The 20034-nt window shown below is 34.3% G+C and overlaps 1 protein-coding gene across 10 annotated transcripts in view; it reads left to right on the forward strand.

Annotated features, from left to right (window-relative positions):
- The window catches only part of LRRC7 (leucine rich repeat containing 7), a 576443-nt gene that overhangs the window by 141442 nt on the left and 414967 nt on the right, over window positions 1-20034 (forward strand). For 4 of the 10 annotated variants that reach the window (NM_001330635.3, NM_001366839.3, NM_001366837.3 and 1 more), the window contains exon 3: window positions 6779-6855. The exons of the other annotated variants lie outside the window; for them this stretch is intronic. In NM_001330635.3, the coding sequence (NP_001317564.1) occupies window position 6855 (1 nt within the window). In that variant the 5' untranslated portion in view covers window positions 6779-6854. The remainder of the gene's footprint in view (window positions 1-6778; window positions 6856-20034) is intronic. 10 annotated transcript variants of the gene reach the window in all.

The raw sequence follows: 20034 nt of genomic DNA on the forward strand, positions 1-20034 counted from the left end.
CACCCATCATTAACCAAACTTTCAGTCACATGGCCACAGTCTAGCTGTAGTAGGAGGTGGGGGCAGAAAGAATCAATCTTCTTATGTACTAGGGGAGAAAAATTGGTGTGGTGAACACAGCTTTGTTTTTGTCAGGACTATGGGGTCTTTGATGACAAGAGTCTTCTCTAGCTCCATAGTGCCTAGCAAATGAAGCTCTTAATTTGTTCAATGAATGAATGAATGCTATCTGACTCGAAAGTCAGGTTTTACATCTATGAAAAGAGAATAAAGATACATGCCTAACAAACAGAATCATTATCAAGATTTAAGAAATACTCTGTATGATAGAGAGTTGTGTTATAGGAAAGACGGACTCTCTGGGGTCTCTTTCAGTTTATGACTTCACTTCTGTTTCAGAAATGCATAAGAAATATTGAGTATGAGTTATAGTTTGTAATAATGAAAAATTATTGATTTATGCAACTATGTGTGTGGATATAGGAAGCAAGATTTTTTAAGTTTATTTCTTATGATAATGGTAGGGAGAGGGAAAATTATTGATTTATACAACTATGTGTATGGATATATGAAGCAAGACTTTTTAAGTTTCATTTCTTATGATAATGGTAGGGATGATCTAGAAAAAAAGTCAACCGGTGTGGTGTCTTACACCTGTAATCTTAGCACTTTGGGAGGCCAAGGCAGGTGGATCATCAGGTCAGGAGATCAAGCCCACCCTGGCTAACACAGTGAAACCCCATATTTACTAAAAATACAAAAAAATTAGCCAGGTGTGGTGATGGGTGCTTGTAGTCCCAAGGTACTTGGGAGGCTGAGGCAGGAGAATCACTTGAACCCTGGAGGCGGAGGTTGCAGTGAGCCAAGATCACGCCACTGCTCCCCAGCCTGGGCGACATAGCAAGACTCCGTCTCAAAAAAAAAAAAAAAAAAAAGAAAGAAAGAAAAAATGTCAAGACAGGTTACCCAGAGCAGAGAAAGGCAGAAACAGTGGCCCAGTTTAGCTCAGAGTCTTCACTACAGCTTCAGGGCTTCCTTCTCTTGCCAGCAGCAACCAGCAAAGCAGTTTTGTACTGTCTATTCCTCCCTGTAGGGTTTACAGATTTGGAGATGGGTGCATGTTTAAAGGTAACAATGAAAGCTTTATAGATATCTACAGTCTCTGTTGTTTTCATTTTCTGTCTTTTTCTTACTGGGCGTAAGGCAAAACCATGTGCATGAAAGAAACTTGAAGAATCTTGGTTTTGTTTCCTGAAATTTAATTAAAATGTAGTAAAGTGGATAAAATGCTTGGAATGTCTAAGGCAGTGACCCATCAGAAGCCCTTTATGAACCCCTAGATTGTACTGAGTGGCCCTCTTCCGGATTCCTATGATACAATGTGTACACATCCAAAATAGCACTTCTCAGATTATATTTAAATCTGTTTTAGATCCCTGCCCCTCAAAGATAAGCTCTTCTGCAGGGCTTATTCATATTGCATCCCAGAGCCCACGCTGACTAGATAACCAGAACTTAGTCTCAGTTTGGAACTCTCTTTTCCCTTTTAGTTTATGAAGACATTTATATATAGACTTTAAAGACCTGCTTTTAAATTCAAGTGACTCCTAGGGCTTACTGCAAAAACGTTCTTTGCTCCACCCAGATCTCACAAGTCCAGTGTTGAGTGTATGGCCTCATGCTTTCTGGAAAGCCCTCCAACTCTGATTCTTACAGGCTGAGCAGCTGTAAGATGTAACAACAAATCCTAATGAATCTCTGAAGATATTGGTGACCTTCAAAATATAGTAAATTCTCCCTTGCTGAGGATGGCTGTGGTGTAATTTTTCCTAAAATGATAAACTGAGTGTGGCTGTTTAAAATTTCTGTCAAACCTGTAATTCAATCTAAATATGCTCTCTATCACAATTCTTGCTTGGAGTAATGCTTATCACATTTCTTTGATATGCAGTGCCTGTACTTCAACAGCTCCTAGCACATTGTTGGCACTAAATAATCAATGACTGTTAGTGATCATGTCACAAAACACTAGAGAACATTGACCATGAGACTGAGTTAAAGTTCTTAGCCAATTCAATATCTGTTTCAAAGCATCCTTGACATTTCAAATCCCCTGAATTTTTCATTTACTCAGTAATTGAAAACCTAAATCTAGAACTGTGGTATTATCACAAGTGCCCACTGCACCCTCTGGATTCAAAAGGTTAATTTTAATGAACTTTTAAACACTTGCATTAGGCAATTTCATTTAAATATAATTGAAATGTGAAGCTGGGTAGTTGTAGTGCTTGGCATTCAAATCTGGCCTATTTACCGTGTCGTCATGGCTCAAGTGCTGTAGCAACACTTGATAAATATTACAGTGTCTAGAGTCATAAACACTGATTATAAGCATAACTGAACAAGGTCTTTGCCCCTGGGAAACCATGTTTTAAGTAGGAGCTTATACCCTAAGGACTTTTAACCGTACTTTCCACTTTTGAGTAGCATGTCGGAGGCAGGTCAAACTGGAGTCAAATGCAGCTTGGGCCACAGAAAGATGTAGAAAGTTCAGGAAGTATATGCTGGTGAGAATTAGCATGTACCTAATATGCACAATGAGTGGGGATCTTGTGTCATCATTTACATATAATCAAAGCACTGCATGAGGAGATTGTATTTCAAAAATTTTGACTAAAAATCTAGAAACCAGAAATGCCACTAAAAAGAGTTATGGCCCAAAGCAAGGAGCCTTTCAAAAGGCTTTCAAACAATACTTTCATATATAAGTTATCTCATAAAGTCGTTTAAAATAGACTTTAACCTGGAGGCTCAGTCACTTAGCCAAGTGTACCCCCAACCAATGAGGACAGTGGTAGCACTGAGAAAAAGAACACACACACACACACACACACACACGTGCACACGCGCAAGTGCTTTAAAATTTAATTTTCTAAAGTATTTTATTTAGGAAAAAAAGGGCCAGGTGCAGTGGCTACGCCTGTAATCCCAGCACTCTGGGAGGCCGAGTCAGGCAGATCACCTGAGGTCAGGAGTTTGAGACCAGCCTGGCCAACATGGCGAAACCCTATCTCTACTAAAAATAGAAAAATTAGCCAGGCTTGGTGGTGGGCGCCTGTAATCCAAGCTATTCAGGAGGCAGAGGCAGGGAGAATTGCTTGAACCCAGGAGGCAGCGGTTGCAGTGAGCCAAGATTGCGCCATTGCACTCCAGCCTGGGCGACAGAGCGAGACTCCATCTCACAAAACAAACAAACCAACAACAAAAAAAGAACCATTAGGGCTAGTATTCTGGTCTCTATTATAACAAAAAGTTATTTTTATTTTTTCTTTCAGCATTAAAAATGTAGTATCACTAGTGACTAAGTGCATTTGGTCTCTTATAAAAGAATAATAAAATACTGTGTTTAAAAGTATGTGTGCTTTGCTGGCTTTATTTCTCTTGTATGAAGGAGTGGGGTGATGATGTCCATATTGCATTAGCCATGGAAAGGCCCAGTTTCAGCTATCTGCAAGGGAAAAAAGCAAGTCTATGCATACTTTAAATAATAACTGCTGCCTATGTAACACAAAGATCTGTTGTTCTAAATTTAGCCACATATTCCCTCCAGTGTATTGAATGGCGAATCTCCCTGAACGTGGAGGGGCACGTTTTGTTTTCAACAAAATGACAAGATTACAGACAACAAGAATGTAATAGTTTATTTTTAAGATATCACTTTCATGGATACTGTAATAATATATTTTAGGCATATAATTTTACCTATTGTAATAAAAAATAATAATAACAAATACCCTTCTTCTAAGGAGAGTGTTTGCTCTTAAGAAGAACTTATTTTAAGGCCAGGCACGGTGGTTCATACCTGTAATCCCAGCACTTTGGGGGGCCAAAGCAGGAGGCTCACTTGAGCCTAGGAGTTCCAGATCAGCCCAGGAAGCATAGTGAGACTTGGTCTCTCAAAAAAAAATGTATATATATATATTTAGACAGGTGTGGTGACCTTCACCTGTAACGTCATCTACTCTGGAGGCCGAGGTTGGAGGATCACTTGAGCCTGGGAGGTCAAGGCCACCAGTGAGCCGTGATTGTGCCACTGCACCCCAGCCTGGATGACAAAGCGAGACCCTGTCTCAAAAACAAACAGAAAGAGCTTATTTTACTTTTTTTTTTAACTATGAGATGTTAAGTTTGATGATTACTGCCATTTTACAGAAAAAGAAATTAAATTATCTGATTCCTGTTTTCTAAGTTGTAGGCCTATGCTACATCAAATGGTATTTAATCAGACTGTTGAATGACTGTTTCCTTAATGTCCAGCTACGTTTATGATCATTTCAGCTAAACCTTAGTTACTTGAATTACACAGAGTTGGAATCTGCATGGCATCTCGTATGAAACTGATCAAAGGGTTTGAATTCTGGGGAATAGAGATAATTGTTTAACATTAATACAGACTTTTGCCCCAAATAAGAATTTCCAGTCACAAAATGTTAATCACAATGGCTGAATGCTTGTGTATCAGACACCTAAGAGCTTTGCTTAGAAAATTTACCCAGTAATCTTGCTAATTCCTGGGACTCTCTTCTTCTCTCTCTTCTTATTCTGTCTCTTATTAATCCCAAAGCTAAACTCATCCAGCACCCTCATAACAAATATTTTGTACAATTTGCAAAAAGAGTCATATGCAGAGAGGTATGTTATATGGACTGGCCACAGCCTTACACCAATTCACCTTGCTCTCCAGGCCTTCCCTCTTCCCGGAATGAGATTCTCCTTCTGCCACTCCCAGACACACTCAACTCCCCTGAGTTACTTCTTCTACACCAAGAAGACATACTGAGGAATTTTTCCAACAATATCTAGTCTCCCTCTAGGAGGAAATTTCTTACCAACAAAAATTTGTCCAGTTTAATACATAAGCAATATTTATCAAATTTTTAAAAGTATGAAGTGCTTATACTCTACAATATACCATCCCTGAAATTTGTTGAAATGCAAAGATAAATCATGGAGGAAAGCAGCTTATGAAAAAGTTACAGTTTAGTCATTTGATGTGATGAAACATAAATAATTAGAATCTATTGAAAAGTGTTATGAGAGGAAATGAGAAATGGCAATTTAGAGGACAGTGAAATATTACATACAATTGAAAGGAATCAGGAAAGGCTTCCTGGAAGAGGAAGCTCATTATCTGGACTTTGATGAGAGTGATGAAACCACAGGCAGAAATCAGTAGAAGGGCAGTCCTAGCGGGAGGAACAACATGAACAAAGATGTAGTGGGGGCCAGGATGGGGAAGATTCCACCAGGTGTTTCAGTCTTCCTGGTTCATAAAGTATGTATTGAAAAACTGTTGTGGGTAAAGTCAGGGGCAGAGAATCACTTTTTAACTTGAATAGCAAGATTAGGAATCTGATGTTTTTTTTAATTCTGTGAACAGTGGCAAGACCAGGAGGAGCATTTTTATCACGTTAAAACCGTAATTTCTATCTCACTTTAATAATGCATTTATTATCAGGAAATTATGTCTGCCTAAACACATCATTTGCTAAGCTTTATTGATTCTAAGACTATGCATTTTGTGCAAATAAAGAATTGTATCAATTAAACATAATCTTCAGCATTTTATGTGCTATTTATATATTGTCACCCTAGCTTTTATTTTCCAAAATATCCTTTAGAGTTCCAAATTCAAGAAAAGATTTTAGTATCTAAGTCATACTGTGTAAAATTGGCTTGTTTAAGTAGATCTTGAAGTTTGCGGCCTTTTGATTTCCTTTTTTAAATTTTTAATAGAACCATTGCACTAAGTAATAATGATAATCAATCCTCCCTTTAAGACTTTTAAGACATACCAGGCCCTGCCTGACTCTGGACATGAACTAGGTACTTCTCTGTCCCACTGATAAATGGAAATTCTCTATAGTCCTGACTTATACATTTAATGATTATATAGAGAGTCTTGGGTTTTACAGATATAGATATAAAGGCTCTATATTGAGTATTCAAATTAATAAATTTAAAGTACATTTTCTTTTTTATTTCCCATATCAACCATGGGATAATAAATGTATAGAATACAAATTGCAACACCAAGTTAATATGTTTATCTCCATCAGTCTCATGCAAGTCACTTTTCTAAAATACACTTAATTACAAATGCATTTGGGGATTTTGGGCTCAATTATTTTAGTTATAATGTACTGAATACATTAAGCTATGACTATATGCACATATAATAACTAACCAATGTCAAAGCATTTAGTTTTGTTTTAATGATCACTGGGAATAACCAAATCAGTGTTTAAGGTATAATAGCAAGATATAAAATTTTATCGATTCAGAATAATTAGAGGAGAAGGCAACTCTAACCTGTATGAATCTAAATTATAAAATATTTTTTAAATTTTTTTATAAATTCAAGATAAGGAAAAATACATTTTACATTTATTATTTAGTTATTAGAAATAAAATAGGCAAGAAGGAAAAGCACTGTACAAAGCATTTTTGCTTATAGGTACCAAAATGTTGCATTAAGGAAGAATGTTGGACAACAGTATCATCCTTTTATTCCACCCTGGATTTATATACCCACAGCTCTAATGTTTAGTGGCAGTGTTTGTGGAATTATTCTTATAGGATATGTAACCTGACAATTAGGGAAGCATCTGATTAAGCTCTTCACATTCCATTCTTGCTTATTATGTTCATTTAGATGCATTTGTCAATTTATAATTGCAGTTAATTGAAATTTTTTAAATTTTCTTTTTTTTTAAAGGAGCCCGCTACATGAAAAAAAATGCAAGTCAAAGTGGTCACAACCTAGAAGTCTGCAGAGACAGGAATAACTAGCAAGTAGATACTATATTATTTTACTATGCTTAAGTATATAGAATTCAGTAGTGTTATGGGAATTTTACACTATAATTACCAAATAGTCTTGTAATTTTAAATTTATACTTAGCAGTTTTCATGTTAACCTATATCACATCACAAAAATAATTAGGAAGAAACATGGTAACTATGAATCTCAGGAAACTCATTTTCTGTCAGTAATAATGAAATTACTTTTATAAGAAACATGAATTTAAATACTGTATCCTCTCTCAGGTCTTATTTTTAGAGCCCCTAATTCAATACTTATTCCTTCATAAAAAGAGTAAATGAATCTGCCTATGTCTTGTGACATATTTATCCACTATGTAAATGCATTGATTCCTCTCATAAGCCATTCATAAATATTATTTTATAATAATGCTTCTAAGAAATAAAGTGAAATTATATTCTTTTTTGAAGGTTACATTTCAAAAATTCAAGGTGATATCAAATGAAATCCAGGCACAAAGCGGGAGCTTTGCATTTATCAGTATTTCCTGACATTTTCAAGAAATGAAATAGGAGGTTCAATGATGAAAGCATGCAATGTTTAGATAAATGGATAAAAAATGAACTTAAGAATGTGGAAAGAGTAAATAAGATTATTTGAATAGCAAGAAGAATCTTTGAAAATCTCATTGCTCCATATTAAAGTGGTCAGAGTTGATTCTTTATCCACAAATGTATCTCGAAAATTGTAATAAAATCAGAAAATACTAAAGCTAAAAGGATTTTAGAAAGTATTTACATAAATATTTCATTGGTATGGGGAAGGGAACTAAGTTTGCAAATAAAAACTGATTTTACATATATATCTACATATATACATATATACATACTTTTTTTTCAAGATAGAACTTAATACAGCTAGTTCTTAATTTAATAGGACTTATTCAATAGTAATGATTAAAATATACATGCAAACAAAAATGTATACAAAATGATGGTAGTATCCATAATCAAAATTTTATGCATAAATGTTTTATATTTAAAATTTTATAGTAGTAGATATTTCTATAACCACAGAAAATGTGTAAAATTGTGTTTCAATTGCTTAGCAGTACAGATTCAAAAAAAATTATATAAACCAACAGACATTTCCTCCTTTTCAATCTTCTTTGATGGCTTTATGAATGACAGGTCATGAATGATAAATACTTCACAGATAAATCTATCATATATTTATACAATTGGAACCACACATTTTGATAAGAAGAATACTAAGCAAGGACTCAATAGAGATGAAAAACATTTTTATAATGAAAATTATTAGTCCTTAGTGTATTTGATTTATAAAATTAGACTCTTCATCTTAGATTGCCATAAAGTGGCACACGCTTATCCTATGAGGGGGTGGAAAGGCAAGCACCTTCAAAATTCAAAGTTCAGTTGGGCCAACTTCATATTGAGGGAGGGAAAATTGTAAAACTGTGTTTATAGATACCTTGATAATAGTCAATATTAGCTTTAGCTGAGAAGGAACTCTAGAAGGCCATAATTTAAAAGATATTGGAACATGAAAAAAAGAAAAAAAGAAAGAAAGAAAGAAAGAAAGAAAGAAAGAAAGAAAGAAAGAAAGAAAGAAAGAAAGAAAGAAAGAAAAAAGAAAGAAAGGAAAGAAAGAAAGAAAGAAAGAAAGAGAGAAAAAGAGGAGGGAGGGAAGGAGGGAGAGAAAGAGAGAAAAAAAGAAAAGAAAGAAAGAAAGAAAGAAAGAAAGAAGAAAAAGAAAGAAAGAGAAAGAAAGAGGAGGGAGAGAAAGAAAGAAAAGAGAAGCAGAGACTAGAAAGAAAAAGAAGAAAGGAGAGGGAGAAAGAAATGAAGAAATAAGAGAAAGAGAAGAGAGAGAAAAAGAAAGAGAAGAAAGAGAGAAAAAGAAAGAAAGAAAGAAAAGAAAGAAAGAGAGAGAAAGAAAGAAAGAAAGAAAGAAAGAAAGAAGAAAAGAAAAGAAAGAGAGAGAGAAAGAAACATGGTAGCAATATGAGACTAGACTGCAGGGAGTTTGGTGCTGGGAAACAGGGAAATCAATGGCTTGTTGTAAGCCAGTCTCAGGAATGTGGTAGAGGTAGAGAAGAGAAGAAGAACTTGATTTGAAAGGAATATCTTCTTTGCCAGATTCCACAGCAACTTCGTTTGTGATCTCATTATTTGAGACCTGGAACACTAAAAGAATAACAGTTAACTTCAATAGAGGATATTAAAACGGTAACTGTAGCTTGGAACATAACATTCGTATGTCTCCTGCATGGCAAAATGGGGGATGATCACAGGAATAATGAAAACACAGAACTGGAGCTCTGGGATTGGATAAAGCATGGGTTGATCTATTTGAATAGAGATGCTGATAGAAGCTGCCAGAATTTTATCAGGCAAAAAAACATGTACTGAGTGAAAAGGAAACATTGCCACAGATAGAACTTTTAGGATCATCAATATTCAGTCATCAAAATTCTGTTCGAAGAAAGAGGAATTAGCCACAGAAACTGATAGAAATAAGAGAAAAACTGACTTCCAGTGTCTGTTTTGTTAAAAGAAACCAAAGAAGCCAAGAGATTCAAAGAGGGCAACAGTGTTAAATGCTCCTGAAAATTCTAGGAGAATGATTGAGGGAAAAAAAGCTTTTGGATATTGCAATTAGTCAGTAATTGGGAGCCCCAACAGAGCTAATCCAACTTTCGATGCCAGATGGTTTTCGAATCCTCTTCAACAGCATCTTTATTCTTCATCTCTTTCCTATATCAATCCCAATGATTCATTTATGTTTTTCAGACTTATCTATGGGTAGTTTTATTTTTGTAAGTCAGATTTACTTATTCTCAGAATATCATTCAGGATATCGTTATTATAAACACTTTAAGTCTCCCCATAATTTGAATAGCAAATTCAATTTAAAGTATGTTAGTTAAGGAAGTGTTATTCTTGCGTAATCCCATCAAATATGCATGACTTATTCCATCTAATAATCGCAAAAGTAATTTCCCACATTAGAGTGACAAATATTCTATTTGCCTCAGAAATGATAATTTCAGTCAGTATTTGGCATAGACTAGGTACTCATAAGTAATTATTCAATGAATAAATGAATGAATGAATGAAAGAATGAATCAGTTCTTTCCTCTCTTTGGATCATTCCCACATTCTTTTTGTTTTTAAGTACTCCTATATCATCTACTTGCAGAAAATACACTCAGAATTATCTAACTATTTTCTAATCCTTAAATAAACAAATAGGACTAAGAAGAAAATGAGATTACATAACACTCTCATGTGCAATTTTCCACCTGATTCTCATTAGCTCTATTTTTATTTTTCTTGACCTAGCATTATAGACTTAATTTTCATAATTGTAATCAGAGCATAACAACCACTAAATCTTTTTAAACTGTTTTTATTTAGAAAGATTACTCTTAAATCTTTGTATTGCATTATTTCTTTTTCTGTCTACAGTAAAAAATGGCTTTATTGTTTTATTTCAGGTGATATAAATAATTCATGTATATTGTAAAAACCTCAAACAATACAAAAAAGTATGATGAAGAATGTAAAAATCGCTTTAAAAACCACTCAAAAGATAACCACAATTAACATTTACATTATTTATGGATTGATCACTTTATCATTATAAAATGTTACTTTTTATCTCTAATAATGCCTTTTGCTTTAAAATCTACTCTTTCTGTTTTTAGCACAAACACTGCCAACTTACATTTGGTTAATATTTGCATGGCTTTTCTTTGTGCACCCTTCTTTCAACCTTCTGGTTCTTATATTTACAATCTCTTGTAAGCATCTTATAGTAGCCTTCATTTAAAAAACCTAATCTGACAGTATTGATATTTACTTGGGTTACGTAGTCCATTTACATTTATATTTATTAAAATAAACTTGGGTTTATATCTATCATGTTACTATTTATTTTCTCTTTAACTCACCTACTTATATTTTTTTCTCTCCTTTATTAATTTCTTTTGGATTTTGGAAATAAACAGATACTTCTTGTTATTCCATTTTTAATTTGTTAATTTATTAGATATGCATTCTTATACTGTTCTTATAGTGGTTACTCTAGAGATTGCACATTCATCTTCAACTTTTACAGTCTAACATGAATAATTACTACTAGCAATTCCCTGATATTGCTAGAATCTTAGAAAATTTTAACTCCATCTTGTGCCATTATGAAGACATTTTTCACAGTTTAAGGATTACTTAGAACCTATTTCTATTCGTGTTTATATAGTCAATATCCATTTATATTTACCTGCACATTTACTTTTCCATTGTCATTCATTTCTTTTGCATATCTGTGTTTCCATCTGAAAATATTCTCCTTGTGTCTGAAGGAGTCATTTTAGGATTTCTTTTAGTGCTGGTATCCTGGAAACTTTCTGTGTTTATTTCTCTGGAAATTCTTTATTGTATCTATGTTTCTAAACCTTATTTTTGCTGGTTATAGAATTTCTTTCAGCACCAAAGATTACATTCCATTGTCTTCTAGCTTTCATCCTCTCTGTTAAGAACAGTCATTAATCTTATTGTTGCTCCTTTGATGCTTATTGGTTTTATTGTTTAAATAATGTTTAAATATTTTTAAATATTTTTACTTATGATAAAATACTCATAACATAAAAGTTACCATCTAACCACTTTTAAGTGTACAGTTCAGTGACATTAACTGCATTCAGATTGTTTTGCAACCATCACCACCATCCATCTCCAGAACTCTTCAAAATAATCATGGAAATCTTTATATGTCAACTAGTACAGACTAATGTATCCTTTCTTTTCTTTTACTCAGAATTCTTTTTACTTGAAAAAACATAGACTTTATTTTTACAGCAGTGTTAGATTAATTGCAAAACTTGAGCAGAAAGTACAGAGCATTCCCATTCACCATCTATCCCCACACATTTACAGGCTCCCCCACTACCGACATCCCACACAAGAGTGTTATATTTGTTATAATCGATGAACCTGCATTACCATATAGTTATTACTCAAAGTCTGTAGTTTACATTAGGTTTTACTCCTGGTGTTGTATATTCTATGGGTTTGGACAAATGTATAATGACTTATATCCACAATTATAGTATAATACGGAATAGTTTCACTGCCCTAAAACTCCTCTGTGCTCCATCCTCCCTAATCTCTGCCAACCACTGATTTTTTTTCTGTCTCCATAATTTTGTCATCTCCAGAATGTCATATAATTGGAATGAAACAGTGTGTAGTTTTTTCAGATTGGCCTTTTTCACTTAGTAATACGCATTTAGGTTTTCTTCATGTCCTTTCATTGACTGATAGCTAATTTCTCTTTAGCACTGAATAATATGCCATTATATAATATATCACAATTTATTTATTCATTCATAAAGTACTCTTTTTAATGGCCACATTCGATTTTATATCTGGATAATTTTCATTAAAAATCTCTTAATTAGGGATAATTTACTATCCTGTTTTCAATTTTTTGCCATGTAAAATAATGGTATGTGAGCCAAATTGAATCTATCATTATTTACTTACATTTCTCAAAGGATATATACATCCTTAGGTACAGACTTGTTGAGAAACAAGTACTTTAAGAAAATTATTATTTTTAAAAGTATTTTATTGTGTGAAAATATACATAAAATACAATTTACCATTTAACCTTTTTTTAAGTGTATACTTCAGTGGCATTAAGTACATTCACACTGTCATGCAAAAAAATCATCTTTAATATCAATGGGTAACAGCTCATGTGATTCAAAAATCAAAAGCTTCTAAATGATAAACTGAAAATAGTCTCTCCCAACTCTATCCCTAGCCAATTTCCCTCTCTAGAGAGAATTAACTGGCATTATCAGCTTCTTATATAAATTTCCAGAAATAGTTTTCACATATGTAAGCCTATGTACACATATATATATATATATTTTCTCCTTTTCCATAGAAATTGTAGCACGTTTAGACACTGTTCAATGACTTTTTTACTTAATAGAAAATACTAGAGATAATTTCATATATGCTCACAGAAAAACTTTCTAATTTTATTTTTTGACAGCTCCTTACTGTCGTACATTGTATTGATTTATTTTGCAACCAGTCTTTTGCTATCATGAACATAGCTGCTCTAAATGAGCATATGCAAGACTGTTTTGCATCTATGTAAGCATATCTAGAAGAAATAAAATTGCTATGTACAATGGTATGCCTTTTTGTAATTTTGCTAGATTTTATAATGTTGCCTTGCATACAGCTTCTTCCAAATTTTTGCCAGTATCCATAATGTAGTGAATAAGACTTTCTAAATTTAATAGATGGATAATTCACTCAAAAGCTGTGATGGTTTACATTTCCACAGGATTATATATTTAATATCGTTTGCCCACATTGCTACCCAGAAGTTGGGTGTGATCACTTTTCTCATTTTTCTCGTTCTGCCAGGCATAAAGTAATGTCTGAATTACTTCAAGTTGCGTTTTTCTATTAGACAGATTCAGCATTGTTTCATATGTGTATTAGTCATATACTCTTCTATAAATTGTATATTGATATTCTTTGACTTTTTTTATTGTTGGTTTTTTCTTATCGCTTTGTAACTACTCTTTGTATGCAATATATACCATATATGGTATACACCATACTGTTTGTATGTGATATATACACATATGTACACTCTTTGTATGTAATATATATGCATTTTCTTTCAAATGCATTGCAAATATTTTCCCCAGCTTAAAATTTGATTTTTATGTTAGTTTTTTGCCATTTTTATGTTAGTTTTTACCATCATTTTTAAAGGTATATGAGGTAAAAGACATCTTTTGTTTTTGTAATGCAATGAACTATTTAATTCTATTATATGTGGTTCTTCTATTTATAATTTCTATTGGTATTTAATTCTCTCGAAGCAGTTAGGTAATTCTTATAGATATTAATGACAGGATGTCTGTCTTCCTAAATTATTTAATTATTTTTATTTTGACCCACCTATGATTGTGAAAAAGTTCACTTTTACAATTAGGGAACTTTTAACATCTGCTAGGAAATGCATAGATGACTTCATACGTTTTTTATATGGCTATCCTGAAAAAGTCATTTCCTAGATAACAGATGTCAATAAACGGAAAGCAGCACACCTTCATTTGAGACTTAACATATTAAGAGAAAAAATTGTCTCAAAATACCAAAAATGGGAAAGGCATACAGCTGATTTTTTTATCATTCTGACAGTAAATAATTTGCCAGAAGTCCTTCCGACTTCTTTCTTGTTTTCCTTTGTGTTTTACTGGACAGTTGTCAGAAATTATTAATAAGAGAATTTGGAAATTAAAACCTTCATTTTCATGACTATTCATTTCATATGATATTAGAGACTCTTCTATTTTTTACAAGTTACAGTGGTAGAAAAATATCTTAGTCCTTTTGGGTTGTTATAACAAAATGCCATAGACTGAGTGACTTATAAACAATCAGCGTTTATTTCTTACAGTTCTGGAGGCTGAGAAGTTCAAGATCAAAGTGCCAGCAGATTCAGTGTCTAATGAGGTCCCCTTCTTCATCGGCAGCTGTGCTCTCACTGTAACCTCACATGGTAGAAGGAGCAAGAGAGTCTCTGGGGTCGTTTTTATATGGACATTAATCCCATTTTTGAGAGTTCTGCTGTCATGAATTCAATATCTCCCAAAGGCCCCTTCTCCTAATACTTTACTTTGGAGGTTAAAATTTCAACATATAAATTTTGGAGATGAAAACATTCCATTCACTGCAAGTAGGACTCAAGGCTAGCAAAGACACAGAAGTCAAGGAAGCAGTGGTTAAAACCACATGTTCTGGAGTTGAATTGTCTAGTTTAAAATCTAGCACTATCTTCTATGACTGTTTAAAATTGAGCACATTCCTTCATTTTTCATTGCTTCTTTTTCCTCATCTGTGAAAAAAATGGATATAATTGTACTCATCTCTTAATATTGTCTAAGTGTTGGGAATAAAGCAGCAAACAAAACTGATAAAACTTGTGCCTTTCAGGAGAATCGCTTGAACCCAGCAGGCGGAGGTTGCAGTGAACCAAGATCACACCACTGCACTCCAGACTGGGCGACAGAACGAGACTCCATCTCAAAAAACACATGAAAACCTATGTCTTTGTGAATGAGTTATTTGGGGCTATTCATATGGAATATAAATGTGACAGCAGTTTGAGAGATGGATTAGAATAGCAAGCAACAGGACACATAGCACATAACATGCAATAAACATTGCTTATGATAATTATTTGAGAATCAAGAAATATAAATCAAATTGGACAAATTTATTTTTGAAAAGAAGTTCTTGCTCACAATTTGTAAAGAAGAATAAAATATGATAAATTATACAAAAAACTGACAAATGTATGCTTTTTTAACAGTAGGATTTATTTATGCAACTAATGTTTATTGGGCATCTGTTACCTGCTGAGTACTATTCTAGGTGCTGGAACTCTAGCAGTAAATGAGATGAGAAGTCACAGAGACTTATACTTGTGGGTGGTAGAGAAACTCCAGAAAATTATACAATTTTGTGGTTATTGAATTTTTTTAAATAAAATCATTTCACTGTACTATAGGAACTTGCTATTTTAGAATAAATCCTTTTCAACTGTTACTATAAATAATTAGACATTTATTTGGTTCATATATTTAGTTTTTTTAAAGTGTGATAAGCTTATACTATTACAAATACAGTTACCCTTGAACAACATAAGGGTTTGGGGCACCAATCCTCCCAAGCAATCACAAAACCAAATATAACTTTTGACTCCACAAAAGCTTAACTACTAATACCCGCTGTTTACTGGACAATTAATATATATACATGTTTTATATATATATGTATATTACAGAGTATATTAGACACTGTATTCTTATGATATGGCCAGAAAAAAGACAATGTTATTTAAAAAATCGTAAAGAAGAGAAAAATATATATACTGTTCATTAAGTCAAAGTGGATCATCATAAAGGTCTTCATCCTTGTCTTCACATTGAGTAGGGGGAGGAGGAGGAAGAGAAGAGGTTGCTCTTTCCATCTTGGAGGTGGCAAAGGTGGAAGAAAATCCACGTTTAAGTGGGCCCGTACAATTCAAACCTGTGTTGTTCAAGGGTCAACTGTACTAACTCCAAACAACTTCCAAGTTCATATCCTACTGAAAGTATATCAGTCATTCTGTTAGGAAGCCAAAGAGAAATTTTAAATAATATAATATTGTCCATGAAGAATAACCTAAAATTGAAAACCAATTGTTACAGGTTAGAGGTGGCATTTATATGGGCAGAAATTGAAAATCTAAAGAATGAAATTGATGACAAGATTCTTCAGATTCTGTATAGGTACGAAATGCCAACATACACTCAAGGTGCCTAAACGTTTTTAATATGATTAGAGGAAGTTATTGGAACTCTGGGGTGAGCCAGAAATAGTCAACACAGGAAAGAGAGATTGGAGGCAAGAAGGGAACTTGTCAAACCGTGTTTGTCTCTCAAGGCCATGATGGCCAGAGAGAGACTACAACCAGCTTCACACTCCAGGCTCCTGTCCAGACCTGTGCTGCTCTGGGGAGCCCCACATGACCCAGCAGCTTGGTTTCTGTGCCCTGAGTGTTCCGATACCAGGAAATCAAGTTTTGATGCTGCCATGTCTGTTTGACTATATTTCTAAATAATCTGTGCTGAACAAAGGGCCTGGACCCTACCTGTAGCCTAGACAGCACTCTCTAGCTGGAATTGACTAACTGAGTTTAGTTGTTTAAACTAAAGCTATAACCATTAACCTAGAGAAAGATGGAACAGCAGAAGAGAGTAAAATTCACATTTATCAAGTCATTTCAATGTAGTCAAAATACATTCATACACACATTTTCTTACTTAGCCTTCATATTATCTGTATAAGTAATATGAGAAACTGAGATGCAGAGAAGTTACTTAAGTGGCTTTTTGACAGTTACCCTGGTTACTAAAGGGAAAACCATTGCAGTCTATTTCTATATGACTTGAAGGGCCATTCTATTTCTACTGTATTGCCAGGAGGAAAGAGTTTCCTTGAAAGAAATTGGATGAAGAAGCTATCATAAAATTTTATCACCATAATAAACCTCTATAGAGTTATAGGCTTATTAGATAGAAATGTAAAGATTCCTTAAAACAGCAACAATGGAACAATGACAATAGTTGTATTGATGTCATTAAATATGGCACCACTGGTCATAGTGTAAAGGATGGATTGAGGGAGATTATGGAAGAAGGTAGAGAGAATGGCTACCAGGAACAGTCATTGGATATCCAGGTAGCAATACTATGTGGGTAAGTGTGTTTCTGAAATGAAGAACAGAGATCTGGGCTAAAGATGTGGATTCAGGAGATTTTACCATGAAGATCGTAACTAAAGCCAAGGGTATAAATGAGGTTGACCAAGAAAACCAAGAAGCAAGGTAAGAAGAGAATAGAGAGCAAAACTTGCCTTTAAATTTCTTTAAAATTTGAAAATGTAAGAGGGCCAGAGTCAATTATGTCCACAGAAGAAAAAAAAAAGAATACCAAGGAAAAAATAACAGAATTAAATAAAAAACTGCAAAGAAAAGAAAGTCTGAGTTCATAGAATCTGGTGGTTAAGATATTTGGGGACCTGCAGGAGAACTTTATAACCATGTAGGTTAAGCTACTGACTGTATCTTAGGTCAGATTCCTTGGAAACAGACTCCAAGGTAAAAATTTGTGTGCAGGAGAATTATTGGGTGGTTCTGGGTAGAGAGAGAATTTGAACTACAGTGAGGTTGCAACACATGCCTCAATGGAACCTAAGGGTAGCACTGGAGCTGGGAAAGCCCTTCAGTATTGTGCCAAAATGAGGCAAGGCAGCTGGGCTTTCAAACCAGCCTCAGTCATTGGAGGGATGTATCCTGGATGAGGTAATTCCCTTCAGTCAAGGGCAGGGCCCAGAGAGGGATGCACTGGTGAGCCATTAGTGGCCAACCTTCTGGCAGCTGGGAGAATGAATGATTCCATCCTGCAAGGGATCTGGGATGGTCAGCACCTCACAGCTTCCCAGGAGAGAATGAAGAAAATGAATGTGAAGAATGCTTTGCTGTAAGGGGTTTTTATAATTATAGCCACTAATTCTCTCTTCCAAATTTTCCCCGCCATCATCTTTTTGCCAATCTGACTCCTTTACTGACAGATTTTCTTCTTAGATAGCTACTTCTTTTACTTATATGTCCTGCAATTAAGTAGCTGTCTTTTCTTTCACTGTTTCACTGAGTTGTCACTAGTACCATAGGGGACAATACAAGTCTAAGTGGATTCCTATAGCCACTCCCATTAATACTTATGTGTAAAATTACCATACTTTACAGAATTGCTTTTTCTAGATCAATTTTCATTAGAAAGGAGGCTTTCTGTGTGAGCTCTAAGTTGAGGAATTTAGAAACTATAAACCAAGACTTGATGTATTATTTGAAGGCTCAGAGTGTATTGAAGAGTCTGGTTTTACATATTTTCTGTGGGACTTTACATTTCCTTAGAAGAAGACACTAAATAAATAGGCTACAATTATAACTACGAAATCTTACCATAATCTTATGTTCATAAATATAGAAAAAGATTAAAAGCTGTTAATCATTTTGGCAATTATTAATTTATGGAAGCTCTGAGTGTGAGGATGGTGTAAAAATAGTTCCCAGAAGGGATTTGAATCAACATGAACTTATATCCTCGTGTCAACCATTTTTATCACCCTGTGTCTTTCCATTCCCTGCAGGTGCTTAATTCAATATCCAGCTGTCTCTGGCAGTCACCTGAGATGTGTATTTACTGGCAGTTTTATTACTTTTTTCAGAATATATAGTACCATAGATTTATTTCTCTTTTTAATGTATTGATAGAATAGTTTAATATTTAAGATGTATTAGTGACAGGTTTTCTGGAAAGTATAAATTTCTAGTCTATTAAATTCGATTTAACCAAAAACAACCCCCACTCACACTCTCCCTATTAAAAAAATGGGAATCATGTAACATCTTTACTTAGATCTAACTAGAAACTGTTTGAAATGGGCAGATTTGTTCTTGCTTTGAAAATACCATATAAACAAAAAAAAAGTCAGTCCCATCTGTCAAATTGCCTGGAGAATGCATTTAACAAGAAATGAAGCTACATTAAAGGCCATAAAATATGCAGCAAGGGAAGGAAGGATAAAGCTATCCTGCAGTTCATTGGCTTCACCTACTGTGCAGTGTACTCCTTGTGAACAAGACAGATTAGATAGTTATTGCTACATCAAAATATCTGCCATTGTGGAGAGTAAGAGAACTAGAAAAAGAAAAAGGGACTCCAAATCCCAGCTCTTTCCATGATCATGAGCCAAAGAAATGTGAAAATTAATTACATTTTCTTTCATTTTATGAAATTGGATCAACTTTTCCTAATAGAGAATAGAACTTATTTGCAATAAAGGAAGCTTCAACTTCATTCATACTGTTACCCATTTGGCAATTGAAAGAAGTGAACTTAAAGTTTTGCAGCTGAGCCTAAAGGAAAAGGAATAAATTGCTGAAGAGCATGCACATAAGCTGGATAATGGCAATAGTATTGTATTAATCCATTCTCACACTGCTAATGAAGACATACCTGAGACTGGGTAATTTATAAAGGAAAGAACTTTAATTAACTCACAATTCAGCATGGCTGAGGAGGCCTCAGAAAACTTACAATCATGGCAGAAGGGGAAGTAAACATGTCCTTCTACACATGGCAGCAGCAAGGGGAAGTGCTGAGCGAAAGGCAGGGAAAGCCCCTTATAAAACCATCAGATCTCATGAAAACTCACTCACTATCACAAGAGCAGCACAAGGGGGTAACCGCCCTCATGATTCCATTACCTCCCACTAGGTCCCTTCCAAAACATGTGGGGATTATGGGAACTAAAATTCAATATGAGATTTGGGTGGGGACACAGCCAAACCATATCATTCTACCCTGGCCTCTTCCAAATCTCGTGTCCTCACAATTCAAAACACAATCATGTCTTTCCAGCAGTCCCCCAAGGTCTTCACTTATTCCAGCATTATCTCAGAAGTCCTAGTCCAAAGTCTAATCTGAGACAAGGCAAGTCCCTTATATCTGTGAGCCTGTAAAATCAAAAGCA

The sequence above is a fragment of the Homo sapiens genome, chromosome 1 (genome assembly GCF_000001405.40).
Source record: "Homo sapiens chromosome 1, GRCh38.p14 Primary Assembly".
NCBI lineage: Eukaryota > Metazoa > Chordata > Mammalia > Primates > Hominidae > Homo > Homo sapiens.